Below are 18587 nucleotides of genomic sequence, written 5' to 3' on the forward strand. Positions count from 1 at the left end.
TATTAAGAGGGGTGGGAGGGGGCAGGGAATGAAGGCTGCATATTTTCCCAAGCTCATGAAGCCCAGCCTAATCATTACTTCAAACATGCCACAGCAAAAGAAGTGACATCTAATCCTGATTTTCTTGTCATGTCTACCATTCCCCCATCTCCTTGTAGACATAGCACTAGGATGCAAACAGAAAAATTCCCTAAAGCTGCCTTATTTTGTTTCCTGAAAGCAGAAAGGCAGTGAGCAAAGAAACTATGAAAGACTCCTAGGCTGTTTAGGAATGATACATTTCCAACCTAGATAAAAATATCAAAAGAAAATCTAAGTCTGGCAGTGACTAGAAATACTGACATTTTTACAATACAAAAACTAAAATTTACCCAAACTCTTAAAGTTAAGCCCCACTACTAAAGAAGTTTACACTGACCATCATTAGGCATGGGACCAAGTACAGCGGTAGAAAAAATGTTGAGTAAGCTTTTGCCTGATATCCAGATGGAGTGTCCTAAGAGTCCTGCATGAGCTACCCTGTGAGGTCAACATTCTGAAATGCTAATCTTGGAACAGCGTGGGTGATAATACAGTTTAAATGCAAACATCACTCTGAGATGGATAAACAGGACTATAAGATCCGAAGACTCTGAGTCTTCGTAATAGAGTTTAAATGCAAACATCACTTGAGATGGATAAACAGGACTATAAGATCCCAAGACTCTGTGAGTCTTCCCATTACCCTCAATACAGGGCATCATTTATTTAAAAAAAAAAAAAAAAACAACCAAAAAACCAAAAAAACAAAGCTTAGTTTTGGGCTCTCAGAAAAATATCACAAATTTGAAATGGGATGATTTTGCTCAGAGGTAAGGAGAACAGAGGCAAATTAGCACTAGCTGCCAAGCATATGATGAACTCTTAGACTGCAGGGACTCACCAGGGTATGCAGCAAGAGATAATGGGTTTACATTTCAGCATGAGGGATTCAGGCTTGCTCTAAATGTCTTTCCTGACAGTGAAGCTTGGTATGTCTTACAAGGTACAGCGATGGCTGTGGAATTACTCTCCCGGAAAACCTTTCCAGTCGGGGCGAGTCTCATCTCTCTGGGATAATGTGGGTGCAGCCCTGCCTGGGAGTTTGGTCGGCAGCCTCTCAAGATTCATTCCAGTCTGATGATTCTCTCACTTTACACCAATAGATGCGCTGTGGCAAAAAAGGTGAGTCAACACACACAGAACAATTATGGAGGGCATTTCTTTTCATGTGGCAAAGAAAAACAGTGGTTATTCCAAAGGAAGCACAGGAACCTCAAAGCTAGCTTTTTGTTTTATTTTCTTAAATCCTGGCAATTGTGACTCATAACACAGAGCAACATTTACAGAAGTGTGAAATTTGCGCACTTCATTCCCTGATGTGCTTCAGCCTGGGAGCTATGGCATTTACACACCTGCAGGGCTGAGGGCTACCCGGAAAAGTGACTTAAATAGAACTGGAAATTTATTTAAAGTGATTGATACATAAAGGAACAGCTTCCTCATCCCCAAAATAACAGGCTAGAGTGAAAAAGGGAAAGAGAATCACCACTTTAAATTTTAACTTCAACAGACTGAAACTCTCTAGACTTTTAAAACAATTTTTTTCTGGGGCAGAGAAACATGACCTACAACCACCACCTTCCCCTTTCAATAACCATTTTTATTTTATTTTTGAGACAGGGTCTCTCTGTCACCCACGCTGGAGTGCAGTGGCATCATCAAGGCTCACTGCAGCCTTGACCTTATAGGCTCAAGCAATTCTCTCACCTCAGCTTCCCAAGTAGCAGGGACTACAGGTGTGTGCCACCATGCCCGACTAATTTTTAAATTTTTGCAGAGTTAAGGTCTTGTTATGTTGCCCAGACTGGTCCTGAACTCCTAGGCTTAAGCAATCCTCCTACCACAGCCTCTCAAAGTGCTGGGATTACAGGTGTGACCCACTGCACCCAGTCAATACCATCCTTAAAAGAAACCAAAATTATTCAAAAATTGCCTGCAGTCTCAGGATTTTAAACATTAACAATTGAACCTATCTCATTTCAGATATCACATTTTTGGGAGGCAACAGTTGTATGTCCGTGAAGAAAAAGTGCAAACATGGCAAATCATTTCCTAGGGAAACACACAGGCTTTGAGTATCCTTATAAAGCAACAAAGTTATGCTGGATTTTCTTATATACCTAGTGCGATACTAAACCAAGGGCATGCCACAACAAGCCTATTTGGAGCTTTATATACACTGTACATGCTTGTGGAAACAAGGCAACTAGAGAGCCATAAAGAATTCATAACTTACATATGGAATATTAAAATTTTGATGAAAATGTGCCCTTTTCCAGATAAATGCCAGATGTTAAGAGTACTTTCATATCCATTCAGACAAGTGCTTTAACATGATTCAGTTCTTTGAAACTTTCTGAAGAAATATACTTGCACTTCTTTCCCCCATTACATTTATGGAGAAAGATTTTCACATACTTTTTATTAAAAACTTGACTAAGAAAAGATGAGCTGTGCTACATAAGTTAAATGATTTCCATAGAAATACATTATTAGAGTATACAAAAGGATAAATCTATGCCATGAAAGAATAATACAAAGCAGGCTCTTTCTATGGTGAGTTCAAATTCCAGAATATACCACAGGCACAAAACCCTTGTGGTTTACAGAATTCTGAATCTCGTAGTTTGAATAATGGGTGCAGGCCAAAGCAACTGTGCTTTTTTGCCATGTCTGTTTTTTTAATTAAGCCCTCCTAGTGGGTGGTGTTGGGGGGAAAACAGGGGCAACAGATCTGAGACAGGCAGCAGAGAACGGGGCAGGGGCAACAGACTAGTCCACAAGGCTAATTCTATATTACCCCTAAAGTCTATAAAGCACAAAGACTCTAAATTCAGGCTTGACTAGTAGCAAGCAATAGCTTAGGCAGGCATCAGCCCCCATGATATCCACCAACTCTCTTGCAGGCATCCAACAGACATAATCGGTGGATGTAAAGATTGTGTTAGCTAAGCAAACGGCTTTAAGACAAGCCCTCTGTGCCTCCCCATCACCAATCCCCAGCCCCAGAGCACCCTGAATGCCTCCCTTAAAGAAATCTTGAAACTCCCACCGTCCCAGACTCCCTGCCCTCTGTCCTAGGAAGACAGAAAGAAGGGACACTGATTTGCATTGCTCTTGCTGTTTTATAGGTAAGATGGGAGGAGAAAAAGGGGAAAAGAATCCAAAGAGTAGGGGGAAGAGGGAAATAGAATGGATAGGCTGTATACATGGAGATAACCATTAATTCTAAAGGAAGCCAAGAAACCCAGAAGGAGAAAGGAAAATAATAATAAGCAAATTAACATTATAGGTCTTTTTAAAAGTCTTTTTGAAAGACTTTCCTCTGCAGGACCATTCCTGCACCCAAATGTGTCAAAGCCTTAATCTTGCATAGTCTCCTGTAATGCCACCCCACACCCTATAACCAGCATGGACCAGCAAGGCCAAGCACACCAAGGAATGCTGATGTTTAGATAATTGGGTGGAGATGAGGTGTGCACTGAGAAACAAGTAAAGGTTGTTCTTGAAAAAATGTTCTCTCATTAAGACCCAGTCAAACTGCTCAGGTGTGGTGCCAAGGGGGTTAATGTACAAATTCAGAAGCTCTATATGGGGTCACATTCTGGCCATGGGGAGACACAAGGGTAGGTTTCTTAAAATGCATTGACTTGACCTCTTCCCCAAGAGCAGTCACCTTTTGAACTGCTGTGGGATGACCTGGGAAAAAAACAGAAAGCTCTGCAATCAGGCACTCTGTGTGAGTGTTTGTAGTCAACAATCAGAGGGCTGTCTAGAAAACAAAATGCCTCATTTCTTTAATAGTAGCTATTCAGGCAGCAAGAGGCAATTTAAAGACTGGCCAGCAAAGTGCACTGTTTGGGAGATCGGCATAAATGATAACATTTCTATTCTACTCCAGCTTTTATGCATTGCTCAACTTCACATTGCTTAAATAAAGTACTTCCTTCTGGGGATGGCAAGTACATGATACCTCAGCTACAGCTACTATGGTAGAATTAGATGGATATACCCCACACATCTAAGCTCCAATACAAAATTCTTAGGGATTTTTAGTAAGATGCACAAATGAGTATTTTTAAGCACAAAGTCATGGGCAGGTCTGGTCTTCATAGAAAGAAGCTTGACCATTGATGGTAGTGTCTTAATCTAAATTTCTTTTTTCTTCTTTACAGCACCTACTTCTTTTAAACAAGGACAGATGGAGCCATAGGGTGCTAACTGGTCCCTTTACTCCTTTCACTTTTTTGTCCTTTTCTTCAATGGACTTTACTTCTAATCCATGGCAGAATCATCCTCTCCTTGTAGAATTGGGCAATATACCATATTCCTACCTCCTTAGGCAAGAAGGGACATTTCCAAAATTTTCTGATAAACCACAACTGCATGAATGGTGAGAAGCTTGGATGCTTTTTATTTCTGTGGCGTCATTAAAGTCCCACAGTACCCAGCCTTTGCTATGCACACCCACCCATGTCCCTATCTGCTTGTGGGAAGCTAATATTTACTCTACCCACTTCCTAGGGATACCGGGGTCTCGGGGCATTCCTATAAGTGTTGTTTGTTAAAAGCACTACAAAAATGTTACAGTTCAAGGTAGTATTTACTGACTTTTATATATAACTCTCCTTACTGGTGTTCTTAAAATTCATCTCTAACATACTTTATTATGTTTGCCTCTGTTTACAAAATTTGACAAGAAGTTATAGACTTTTCGTGATGTGGTCAGTAGTTACAGTATAAGCAAGCAACTCATATGTTTTGCTCCCAGAAAAGAGCCCTTGGGAATACTTATCTCTAAGGGCAAGACTTGAAATCTGAGAGTCAGATCCAAATATTGCCAGATGGCTGGCAATACCTTTAAGCTGAAGAGTGGGTGTTTGGCTCCCACACTGGGCGTTCTGCATCCAGAACTGAGACTCTGTGGAAGCACCGAGTACATGCGTCCCTAAAGCTTTGGCTTCAGTGGCTCTCCTGAACCATTTCTGTTTGTCAAAGGCATGTGACCATGTCCTGGCAGTTCACTCAGATATCTGCCCTCCACACAAAAATTTGATCACAACTGCCTACATCCACAAGAAAGCTCCTGAGTCAAGTTTAGCAGAGTGCTATCACAGCATGGTGCAAGATAATTTCCCATCAGACAGGCAGCCATTCTCTTGAACCTAAAGACAAAAGGAGGAAGCATAGAAAATAGAGCTGTTTCATCACTTGGGTACTTATGAGTTTACATCTCTGCCCCAAAATGTATTAAGCTTCAGTCGGGCAATTACCTAACAAGGGCAAAAATGCACAGAGACAAGCAGAAGGCGGAAACCTCTTATTTTTTAATTTTTGAGACAGAGTGTCACTCTGTTGCCTAGGCTAGAGTGTAGTGCCACGACTCGGCTAACTGCGAACTCTGTCTCCTGGGTTCAAGCTATTCTGGTGCCTCAGCCTCCTGAGTAGCTAGGACTACAGGCATGCACTATTACACCTGGCTCATTTTTGTATTTTTAATAGAGACAGGGTTTCACCATGTTGCCCAGGCTGGTCTTGAACTCCTGGCCTCAAGTGATCAGCCCATCTTGGCCTTCTGAAATGCTGAGATTAGGGGCATGAGCCACCGCGCCTGGCCCTGGAAAGTGGAAACCTCTTTAACCCAGAACATCTAATTGGTGGCTCTGTGGCCTGTATCATTTCACAGGTGGTTACCGGGCAGCCTCCAAGAACGGAAGCAGCTGTGGCAAGGGAATTCTCCAGAATCTGTGAGGTTTCTAGCTACGAAGAGCTTCAGTGATATCTGCTTGTCACCAGCAAGTCCTGGAACTCATCAGTAACTGACCCTACTACATGAGCCCCTACATAAGGAAGGCTCTCCCTTCTCACCCTCATGATCCATCTCCCATGGTTCTTAGCAAACCATCAGTGCCATGTTTTGACCAAGAAAAAGTAAAATGGAAAGCTATCCAAATGTTGACTGACTTCAGGTACTATGGGAGCACTGAGGGGGAAAAGAACTGTTATGTAGGGGAAGGATTCTATATGAGAACAGGTAGGACCCTTTTCTCCAAATGTAGCAGTGGAAGAGAAAAGAGACACATACCAATGGACAGTTCATACCCAATAGACACAGTTCAGCTCACACAATCCAGGCACCTGACTTAATATTGATCAAGTCTCACTGGATCACTTAAGACAGGATTCAGAGGTGACAGCAATGTTTTTGTCTGTCTGAACACAAAACAACTCAAAAAAGGGTCTCAGGCATCAAACTCTCACCTCTTTAAGGTTATTTAACAGCCTAGGCAAAATTTTGGAGGTTAGAACAACTATTCAGCTGCTTTAGCACTTCATTTGCATAGAGAACAAGCTTCATTTTCCCTTCTCACTGTACTTGGTCAGCCTCAAGTTGCTATTTCCTATAGCTTTACAGCTGAAAACTCTACTCTGCCATGCACATCCTCTTCTTTTAAGTAACCTCGTTTGACTAAAAAGGCTTTGGGGAGGCAAATGTGAAATGTTCTTTCCCCACCTCTTACACACTTTGACATAACACAGAACAAATCAGGTGACGAGAAAGACTCCACCCATGGCCATCTGTCCATCTTAACACAATTACCTATGTGCTGGGCGTACCATAACTTAGCCAACAGCCAATTATAGAATGTGTAACCAATTTTCCTTGTTGTATATTGCTACAATGAAGAACCTTAGAACAAATTCGTGGAAATAGAGTTAATTATCTGGCCAAGGCTTCTGACTGTGAAATTGCCTTCTACCGAAAGCTATTGCAATATATATTTCTCCCAGCTGTATCTATTTCACTTTACTCCTAACATGTGTAGATATATCACATATTTTTTTTTTGCCAATTTGATTCCAAAATAGTCTTCATTTTCTTGATTATTTCAGGATAAACTTTTTGTCGTAAATCTACTGGACACATGAATTTGTTTTTTAATTGCCTGTTTATGTTCTTTGCCTGTTTTGATAGGATGATTTTTTAGAGTTTGATGTATATAACAGATATTAACTTTTCACCAGATACACTGCAAATACTCTTTCCCAGTGAACTGTTCGTCTTTTAATTTATATAGCATTTTATCACATCTGTATGTTTCATATTTTTATGTAGCTTCCATAAACCTTTTCCTTAACAGATCCTCTCTCTGATTTTTGTTTAGAAAGACATCCTCCACCCCACTCAGATTCCATAGCTACCAACATTTTCTTCAGTGTGGTTTTCTTTTATGTGGTCATTTTTTAAACCTTTTATTCATCTGGAATTTCATGGCATACATGAATTAGAAATCAACTTTGTACTTTTCATTTATTGTTTGTCCTATTACTACTGAATAATTATAGCTACATCTTTATGTTACTCTAAATGACAATATTATGTTTAATGTTGCATAGTGTAATATCTCCCCCTTTGTTTTATTAAAAATAATATTTTAGCTATTTGTTTATTCTTCCTGATAAATATAAGGTCACTGTAAAGATTTGTTTTGAAATCCCATGAGGCTCTGGATCACAACACCACTAAACTTCTATTCTCCCCCAATCAGTGTAATCATGTGCATGACTGAATCCCATCTAATAACATGAGCACTCCATTTATCAAATTGTATTTTTCTTTGCAGAGGCTCTCTTTAACCTAGACATAAATTCCTTGAGGACAAACTTTATTTCTGTTTTCTCAGTATATTCTATTCCTAGTAGCTAGTACAGTGTACTAGAATGAATGAAATCAAAGTGACCTAGAACATTTGTCTTTAACATCTTATTTAGTATTTCAAACCCCAATTAGCTAAAACAGCACCATAACCCTGAATGCACTTGGTGTGTGTAACTCAGCAAAGGTCTAAGTGCAGGGATTTACAGCCCACCACACCACTCTAACAGCATAACCAATTCCAAAGACAGAGACCTTTCTACATTACTGCAACAGCAACACAAAGGGGAAATGAACATGGAGGGTAACACTGGGTAGATTAAGATGAACCAAAATCAACAGAACTGGAACTCATGCTTGAGAACTACAGAAATGTGTCTAGAATGAGGTATATCACTGCCATGGTGAAGTAAAGAAGTCAGAACACTGCTTTAAAAAGTCCTAGACCCAATGCTAAGAGAGATTTAGGACATTGAGATAGCAAAGATCCAAGGTAGGGGTGGGTAGACACAGAAATATCCTAGGTAAAAAAGACCTGAATCAATGTTCCCAACCTGTCTTCTTCCTGGCTCCTTGGTAAAGGGACTCAGCTAACAAAAACCAATTCACTGGTGGAGGCTGGATGGAGTCATTGTGAATCGTACCTACACTGCTGGTATGGATCACCTGCACTGTTTGGCACCTAAGGAGCACCTCTTTTGATCTAATGATTTACTAGTTTTAAGATATATTTACAAAGATATTTATTATAGCAGTATAATAACAAAAACTAAACGAACACATTAATGCCCATCTACAGGAGAGTAAATAAATACACTGACATATCCATACTTTGCAGCTGTAAAAAAGAATGGTATATTGAAGACCTTGGAGAAAAAACCCACGACATATAGTTAAAAAATATTTTTTTTCTTAAGACTTTTTTTTTTTTTGAGGGTGTTTCTCTGTCATCCAGGTTAGAGTCCAATGGTCCAATCACAGCTCACTGCAGCTTCAAACTCCCAGGCTCAAGCAATACTAACTCAACCTCCCAAGCAAGCATCTGGGACTACAGGTGTGAGTTTTGTAGTTTTTGTAGAGATGAGGGTCTCCCTATGTTGTCCAGGCTGGTCTCAAACTCCTGGGCTCAGACGATCCTCCTGCCTTGTCCTCCCAAAGTGCTGGGATTACAGGAGTGAGCCAATATGCCCAGATGACAGATTTTTTTTTTAAATGTTAAGAAGAGAATTAACATAGTGTGATCTCATTTTTATGAGAAAATGTTCACCACATTTATAAATACTTGTGTATTTTATATGAGCTTAGATGGGTATTGAAGAATAAACACCAAATTGTTAATGCTGGTTAAGGAGGAAGACAGAAATTTAAGAGGAGAAGGGGCCTGAGTTAGCTCTTCCGTGATATACTTCTGTGTTGTTTGACTTGTTCTGGTGGCCATGTGTAGCTTTTGTGCTTTGAAAGGAGAGGCTAATAAGTTACTATTCTTGAAAATAAATAGACATGTCAATAAATTTTGAAAAATGGATATTAACAATGCAAATGTAAAAGTATCTCAGATGTAGAACAAACAAAATAATGAACCCCATTAGAACATACTTGAGATGGTCAAACTTTGATGACTTAAAGCTGGAAAGAGGTACTACAATTAGTTTTCCTTTGATTTCAGGGACGTATTTATTCTGCTTATCTTAAGACAGAACAGACCAAATGGTTTTGAAAGGTCCTAGATGGTTCTCAACATTTGGGTATATTCCAGGAAGACTAAGTTAATTTAGCTATTCACAGAGTGGCACATTTGACAGGGAAAATGCAAATTTGATCACTGTAGTTAGTGTTCAATTAGCCACTCAAACTGGACGGGGAGTAGTGACAGATAAATAGATATGATGCTAGGGATACTGCAATGTATTTCACTTTTGAAAGCCTTGTTTGACTTTCTCAGGAACCTATCTAGGAGGTCGTATGAAATTTGTATTAGATTGTAAATATTGTTTTGGTGTACCCCCAGGGGATTAAATAGCAACCACATAATATTCCTTATAATCTACTCTAAAATACATTCAATTTTAAGGAAGAGATATAGTCATCCCCAATCATCCCTAGAGTACTTTTCATGAATATTTTTCAACATGTGGGTCATGATCCATAAATGAGTCTGGAGACAAATTTAGTGTGTTGTGATCAGCATAGATCTAGATTAAAAAAAAAAAGTTTGAAAACTACTGCCTTAAATATTCCCTTCTTTTCTGCATCCTACCCCCTATGTACTGTACCAACCAGCAGGGAAAAAACACTTTCTCTCAAGTCTGGATAGGCATATCCTAGGCTGATTTTCAAGGAGCTGATTTTGTCATTAAGAAAAATGTTAAGTTTAAGTATACATTTGAAAATTCAGGAGCTAATTCTATTTTCTCTACTTCCCAGCAAGGCATTTGTTATAATGGGTAAATGGCTTTGCCTTAGGATTTCTTGCTGAGAAATAGCTCCTAAATGCCCATTTCTTGTACTGTATATTAAAACATGACATAAGAACAAGGGGGATCACAACAATAAGGTCATAAAGCTGCAATCAGGCCAGGCCCCTAAGGACTGTATTAACAGCCCAGCACTAGCAGTGGATGTACAGAGAGGAGCTGTGTGCACCCTGAGTACAACAGCTAGTAAACGTTTAATTGAAAAGTTATCTCTTGCAGCTGTGCTGCCAACACTCAGACATCTGAAGACAACTGTCAACAGAATTCTCAGGAAAAGACATCTACTATTGAAGCTCTAGCATGTTCCTCAACACACAGAGCAAGACACTGTTCTCAAAGTCCAACAGCTAAGGGTGACGGCTCCCTTGTGCTCCAGGCTTGTACCACCAGCTGCTGACCACACTGCTGCACCCAGAGGATGACACTTGATGTGGCCCAAACTCAACTTCCCTTCTTTCCCTGCAAACTAACCCACCCCGTACATCCAGCTTGCTAGGCAATTGAACTGTCACCCAGTTCAATTAAATGAACAAATATGGGCCATGAGCCAAGTTCTACAGGCCCATTTACCCAAACCAGAGACTTGGGTATCCTTTTTGAATTCTTCCTCCACGTCCCTCTTATCGATTTCTGTTGATCTTGCCTCACAAATCTTTCTGGAAACCATCCACTCCTCCCCATGCCAGCATCACCATTCTAGCTCAGGGTCCACTGCTTGTCTAGATTGCAGGAACAGTGTCTTCACTGGTTCCCTACATCTAGCCTTCTCTCTAAACTGTTCTCCAAAGGAAGCGTAGACACTCTGAGGTGCATGTCTGATGACATCATTTCTCTTGCTAAAAGAGAAATATAAACAATAACAACTCTTCAGTGGCTGCCCTTCGCCCTCAGGTAGGTCCAAATTCTTTTAAATGGACCTACCTGCTCCCACCCCCACACCATCTTCAGGTGGCCTCTGGAAAGACTTCTTGAGTCCTAGTGGACCCCTCTCCTATGTAGCCTCCTAGTTCCCATAAAGCTTCTAACACACTCTTTCGGTGGCCTTGTTTCTTTGGTCTCCTCTAGTAGTCTGTAAACTCCTTGAGGACTAGCATTTTGTCTGACTGGTTTCCAACAGCTAGCACTGTGCCTGGCACAAAGGAGGCACTGAATAACCACATGTTAAAGACTAACATTGACTAGTTCCTCTAACATGGGAACTATGATAAAAGCTAAACCAGGCGTTGGAGGTCATTGTGTGCCTTGTGCAATGACACAATGTGGACTTTCAGCAATGGTTAGGAAACCATCCCAACAAATCTCTCAGGTACATAACCATGGAAAATCTAGGGCTAGACAGTCCAATGACTTCAGTCACACAATCTGAAAACAAAAAGGAGCACTGAAATCAATGATATAAGTCTGCTTATGATGATAAACAATGTTAACATTAAGTACATTTTGCCATTAAAGCCATTTCACATAAAGACATTATACCAAAAAACAAAATTGTTATAGCAATTAGATTTCTTCATGATCCTTTCCATTTTTTAAAATCCATGTTTGCATTTTTCTTTAAAAAGCTGTAATCCTAACATACATATATGGCGAATTTTGTGTTATTTTCTATAGGTTTTCTCAAGTGGGTACACAGTCTTCATATTTGTAGTTTTAATGCCTGAGTAAATGCCATCAAGTTAATGTATCATACTTAATCATATTTAGGTAGTTTCTAATCTTTACTAATTTAAAATAATGCTGTAACAAACATAAAATGATTTCCTTCTTTTCGAATTACGAAAGAATTTTTTCTCCTTATCTTAGAAGACTATTTCACTATGTTAAACCTGCAAGAACACATACTTGGAACACCATCTGCAAAACAATACCCAAAACAGTGGGTAATGTAAGAATGGACCAAAACAGGGCTTGCAAATCAGAACACATGCAGGAAAGTGGGGTATGAGTGGCAGCGGAAGGGAAGAGAAGCTGCAGAAATGGTATTTAGAATGCGTTCCTGAATGACACGGGAGGAGCATTTCTGGAGTCACTCTTGTCACTTAGACAGTTAACAAAGACACTACCTGCAGCAGTCCCTGTTATGGAACCAGATAAGGCAGTGGCGAGTGGACCATCTCAGTAGCTCTGAGCATGCAGCAGCTTTCCTAGCAAGGTGGCTAGGGGTCAGATTTAGACATAAAGTGTAGATGGCATTAGTGCAGCAAAGGATTCTGGCCTGTTTCCAGTAGTTGAGGTACTAGAAAACAAGAGAAAGAGCAAACAAGGGTAGATGGGGGATTGCCAGGGCAGAAGATTTATTTATGAGGGATATATTGGGAAGGGTTAGCCAGAGAAATAATAGAATCCCAACCCACTCTGCCTATGACAAGTGGCCACTCAACCACATTTCCTCCTCACCCCCAAGTCTGGCCCTTGCAGAGATAGCTAAACTTCTGCCAACAACCGGATTCCTTTCTATAATTAAATTTAATTCAGCACTCATGTAAATATTATTTCTCACACTACTGTCTTCTATCACTGTTGCGTTAACCTCAACAATTTTACCATTCCACTTCCACTGTCAAAGAATAATAAAATCCTCAAAAATACCCACTCTTAATTAACATGTTCTATTTTCTTTTCCTCCTATCCTACCCTCCTGCCTTCTACCAGAAGGCAAAGGGGATCTAAAGTCTTCCTGCAAACACAGAGCTGTGGTCTCTTGTGATTACAGTCCCATTTCTATCTCTCTCATTTATCTTATCAAAAAAAATCTTATAATATTTACACATACTCTAAGAAGCCAGGTAACTGTTAAGACTTAAATTCAGCAGAGCTTAAACAAAAGAAGAGCAAAAATGATCCAGAAGTCATAATTTACTGTTAAAATGCTACTATCTCATGTACCATCCCCCATACCACACTCTTCCATGTCTCATTCAATACCTTACAGAGACCCTTTAAGAACACAGGCTGTGCTTTCAGGAATAACTGACATCCCTGTAAATCCATGTAATGTTCAGAATATAAAGCCAGTGCTCTCTGCTGTCCATATAGCACCATTAATCTTATGAACAGTACCACAGAACACCCTCCCCCAGCCCCCTCCATCTGCTTTAAGTAGGGCAAGTGTTTTACTCATGTTAATGGTTCTGACAGATGAGGATCAACACTGCTTTAATCCATTTGCAGCCTAGCACAGGGAACATTTGTCTTCTCAAATGCTGTTAGGGGCAAGTACACTGGCTGTTAGTAACAGGAGAAGTACTTCAGGCAGTGCTCAGTACTCTGAAGTGACTGGCTCTGCTTTCCTCATAGAGGGAATGCAAAGGAAATTCTTCCCAAAATGGGTTCAAGATGTTCTGGCTGCCATTGTGGTTGTGTGTTGATCCTTTAAAAACAGCAGATAGTAGAATTTTATTAAACTAAGACACACTGAATCAATTTCTATTGATTTCTTTTAAAATGCCAGTGTATCTTCTCATTTACCAATTAATAACATGCAAGTTCTAGAAAAGACAAAAATGAATGCAGTTGAATTTTTCAAAAGGATTTTGCTGTAAAATGCAACAGCCCAATTAGGAACCACACACATTTTGCAATGATATACCTAGCACCAATTTATAACACACACAGGGAACATTAGAGCCAAGGCCTGCCGTGTTTACAAGAGCATGGGCCTTAGATACAGGCACACACCTGTGTCCAAATTTCAGCTTCACCATCTTTTGTCTTCTCAACCAGCTGCTATGGGTATTGCAGGAATCCCTGGTCAAGAGACATACATACCTAAACATATACATACCTACATCTTGGTTCTGAATTACCTGAAGATGTAGCTTCAGACGATGTGCTAAATATGCCCTAGAGATTTCTATTCTCACCCCAGAAGTACAAAGAGGATTTCCATGGAGAATGAATACAGTGGCCCGACAGCCTCCTCCCCCGATTTTAGGAAGGGGTCGCCTGCCTGGTCTCCATGAGAAGTACTTCTTTATCAGCATCTGGACTTCACGGGCCCATCTCTACTACTTATCGTCACGTGTTTTTTTATTTGCCATGTTCTCATTTCTACTCCCTTTGTTTTATTGCTATTTCTTCTTCAATTCCACCCTGTCTCCCGTGCTTCCAATTTATAATAATAATCTTATACATTTCAAGACTTCAGTACAGTGCTTCCAGCTCAGAAATCTAATGAAGAAAAACAAATATGGCATGACTCAGATTTATGGAATATATTGTATAGAGAACCCACCAGAAAAACCCACTTGTTACCCCTTATAGGCAGGATTACTGATTTCTTCCTTCTGCCCCTCCTAGGCTTTCAATGCTGTTCAGGGTGCCTCGATGAGATGAGAATAGATGGACAGGAGACTATTCTTCTAGTTTGGGGGCTCTTTCTTCTTCAACTTCTGGGTAAAAGCATGGCCCAAGATTGACCACTTAACAAAAATGCTTACTGACATGAGAGAAGTTTATGTTATAATGCCAGCCATTTTCTGGTAAGCCATTTTTGCCCAAGAAGAGTATACATTTATGTATATGTTAGATCTCAGCAGTATAAAAGAGATCAATTTTTCCTCTATACAACAGAGAATATTAAAACATTAATGGCATGTCTATCTGGATGTGGGATTTAAGGTAATTTTTATTTTAATATTTTTCTGACTTTCTACATTTTATATAATAGTTAACAATTACATTTTAATCAGAAAAACAAAATAATTACGTAAAGTTACTTACGTCCTTCTAACTCCATTCAGCACCCTACTTTGAAAGTCATCATTTATGTCTTTACAGTTTAATCTAAAATCATCCAAAAGTCAACTCTAATTTTGAAGAATCAAAAGATTCCAACCTCCCAACTTGATTAAATTAGATCAATGTTGCAATGCCCTAAAAACCTATATTCTTATATTGAGACCAACACATCTCTATGTGAACGATGACACTTATTAAAGATAACCTAGTCTAAACTCCCAGAAACAGGCAATTTAGACTATTCCTAAACATGAATTTTGATGGGAAGCTTTGATTTTCAAAAAGGAGTTTTCCTCATTCTGCTGCTTACAGAAAGCCTGGATGTGCACAGGCCTCTTTAAGACCATTATCAGGCAAATTTTAGACCACCACTATCGGTCAGAACACCATTACCAGCCTTGAAATGTACTGATTAGAATTTAGAAAAGGATTCTGAAGAGATTCACTTTTACTGGGACTCAAAGAAATTTGGCTAGGCTGTTTTATTGTTTATAATCATAGAGGTAAATATTTAGGAAAATAGAAGACAACATGTTATGAACTCCAAAGAGTTATCTAAATGAGTAGGATCCAACAAAAGTACCTTGCCATCTATAACTGTAGAATACTATACAAAGGAGAGATAATGCACAATAATCTTAGCTACCTTCTGACTGTGCACCTGCTGTCAGAAAAGTGGGGTCAAATCTGACTCTGCTTCTCTGGGTTTGTTTTCTCAGCTACAGGATGAGGTAACTAGTCCCCAGAGAGGAATAAGCGAGATGTGTAAGAACAAATGAAAATATAACAAAAGGCAAACCTCAAACCAAAATGAAGATCATCTGCCTGGAGAGTTCCCTTCTTCACATATAAAACTCACAATTACAAAACCAAAAATAGAAAAAAAGAAAGAAAACAAGCTCTCAGACACTGTGCTGAAGTATGAGTGAGTCTCCTTACCTGTGACTGCAGCTCACTGTAAATTCTGAGGCCCAGGGGGGTTTTAACAGTTGCCACGCAGATATGTTGCTCTCCAAGGACCCCATTCCCTATCAGGTGCATTATCTGCTCATCAGCATCACTTGTTCCTTCCCACAGCTGAGCCAGGCCCTGATGTGCTAACATGGAGGAGAGGTGTCATGCTCCCTCTGTCAGCTCGGTGGGTTTAGCTGGAAGCATCCTGTGTGTAAGGTAAAGCCACAACTCTCTTCTTCACCAGAGTTGTTCCTTACCTGTCAATTTTGTTTCTATTTAAGGGTGATTTCACCCCCACCAATGAAATGCTTTTAAGGGGGTTTTTATAGTAGAGAAGGGACTGAACTGCATTTACACACATTATACAGATTCTCTTCATTCAGTTAGTATTTACCGGATGGCCTCTGCAGCTTGGTATCTGTTCTTCCATCACTACAGTCAAGCCAGACCCAGTGTTCTAATGTGGTTAAGTGGGCACATACCCTTTTTCCTCAGACCACACTAACAAGATGGTAAGTGACTCACTCAAAACACACATATTGGGTATCTACTATGCACCAGGCATTCTGTTAGGTATGGGAGTAAAAGATTAAGATATTCTCCTAACTTCAAAAGGCAAGACTTTCAGGAGGCTGAGGTAGGAGAATAGCTTGAACCTGGGAGGCGGAGGTTGCACTGAGCCAATATCGTACCACTGCACTCTAGCCTGACAACAGAGCCATCCTCTATCTCAAAGAAAAAAAAAAGAGCAAGCCTTCAAAAGCTACATGAAGATACTCACAGGGAAATATTAATGCACTTGATACTTCCTTTCACATACAACATATGTCACAGTGAGTTTTGCATTTACATGCCAGTCTTCATACCTGTTGGTGAACTTCTATATTTATCTACTTCCGGTGCCTCGCACAAGGCCTGGCACACAGGGGCACTCAATGCATGCGCATCCAATGAGGAACTGACAATCCAGATGGCGGGAAGGTATAAACACCCAATAGCCACGCTGTCACAGGAGGCTTGTGACGAGGCCATAGTGAAGGTCTCAGTAATGTGCCACAGACAGCACAGGAGAGTTCAGTGCAGTTCCCATTTGAGATAATTCAGGAAGATTTTCTTGGAGAGAAGGCATTTGAGCTAAGTTTGGGAGAAGGATTTCAACAGGGAGGAAGAATGAGAGCTGGGGAGGGTGTCCAGGTGGGCAGAGCACCTTAAATGGAAACATGATAGGATTTATACCAGGTCCGTGGCTGCCAGATGATACGCCTCACGCAGTGGGGGCTCCAGATCTCTCAGCGGCCCCATCTGCTCCTCAGTGTAATTGATTTAAAAGGTCAGCTCCCTTATACTCCTAAGACAAGAGCTCTGATTCACACCAGAGAGGTCTGGAAAATCTAAGCTGTGTGTGCGTGTGTGTTTGTGTGTGGAGGGGAAGGAGACAGAGAAATGTCTTTTAATAAGCTTCTCTAAATTTTAGCTTTTTCAATATGTGCAACTTAATTCAAATCTATCTTTTCTTCCTTCAGGTACCAGGTCAGAGAAAATTTGTCAGACTCCTCTTAAAAACATTCTTTCTTGTCTCAGAAGAAAGGAGTGTGGATTGGTATTATGGCCTCTAATGGAAACATGGTGACAAAGTCAGCTACCTCCCTCCCCCAAACATCCCCCTCCCAAGGGTTTTGGTTCCAAATAAGCCTGGAAGGGGACATTCATTGGCTGCATCAAATTACAATCCCCCCTCAGCTGCATTAATTGGAATACTGTATCTAGCACACAGCAGGATGAGAGTCTCATACGCAGAGAGAGTTGGGCATCTGGAGAAGTGTGCAGACCCAAACAGCCCATCTCAAGAGCACCAGGGGCAAATGGGACCAGTCCAGAGGGATGGGAACTAGCTGGAAAACATGACTAGCAGGGGCAAATGGTCAGAATTCTCTAGGTTCTGTCTGAAGCAAGACTTGTGGGGAGAAAGGGGGCCAAAGGAATAGAGGGCTGACACCCATTAGCCCTTTCCACATGACTGCTGCTCTCCTCCCTCCTCTGCCCGCCCCCACCCATCTTCACAATTCCCCATGCAATTTTTCGGTTGTGCAAACTGAAGCCCAAAGAGCTTAGAGGATCCAAAATCACAATGCTGGTAAGTAAAATGAAATGTCTGATGCCAAAATCAATTTTTATTCCCCTCTAAAGCTCATTAGGGGAGACAGCTGGCATTTAATTTTTAAAGTGATCTCAAAAGAACTGTAATCTCTTAACATTAGAATTTGCTCTTATAAGATTGTTTTCCCACTTATTAGCACCATGCATTTGTTGAGACGGATTTGGATAATATCGATATTCTGACAGAACATAATGGGATAACTCAGGTCCTTAACCCAAAGCTCTGTTTCTATTTAAGATAGTCTAAAAGAGCTACATCAGCATCTGATTCTTTGCCACCTACCCTCCCTGAAACTCAACTGGTTTTCCATATGCTAAGCATAACTTATTTTTTCTGGTTTGGATGGGTTAGAAAGATGCTGGAAGAAAAATTAGACCAACTTGTAAAACTTTACTTTGCTGATCTATGGAATAGCACACTTTTCCCACATAGCAATTTAGTTTCTTTCTTCGTTTTTTGTTTTTTTTTTTTTTTTTTGGAGACAGAGTCTTGTTCTGGTGCTCAGTGCTGAGATCATGGCTCA

At 40.3% G+C, this 18587-nt stretch overlaps 1 protein-coding gene across 2 annotated transcripts in view, besides 1 other annotated feature; it reads right to left on the minus strand.

Annotated features, from left to right (window-relative positions):
* MCC (MCC regulator of Wnt signaling pathway) overlaps positions 1-18587 on the minus strand; it is a 466348-nt gene that overhangs the window by 143851 nt on the left and 303910 nt on the right. The window lies entirely within an intron of this gene.
* Positions 790-1989: an enhancer, noted in NCBI's record as "P300/CBP strongly-dependent group 1 enhancer chr5:112502443-112503642 (GRCh37/hg19 assembly coordinates)". NCBI's record gives its function as "activates an origin of replication core promoter dependent on BRD2, BRD4, P300/CBP, MED14 and CDK7 cofactors, with strong dependence on P300/CBP, by STARR-seq in HCT116 cells {active_cell/tissue: HCT116}" and the evidence as "EXISTENCE:reporter gene assay evidence [ECO:0000049][PMID:35650434]".

Source organism: Homo sapiens, chromosome 5, assembly GCF_000001405.40.
Source record: "Homo sapiens chromosome 5, GRCh38.p14 Primary Assembly".
In the NCBI taxonomy this organism is placed as follows: Eukaryota; Metazoa; Chordata; class Mammalia; order Primates; family Hominidae; genus Homo; species Homo sapiens.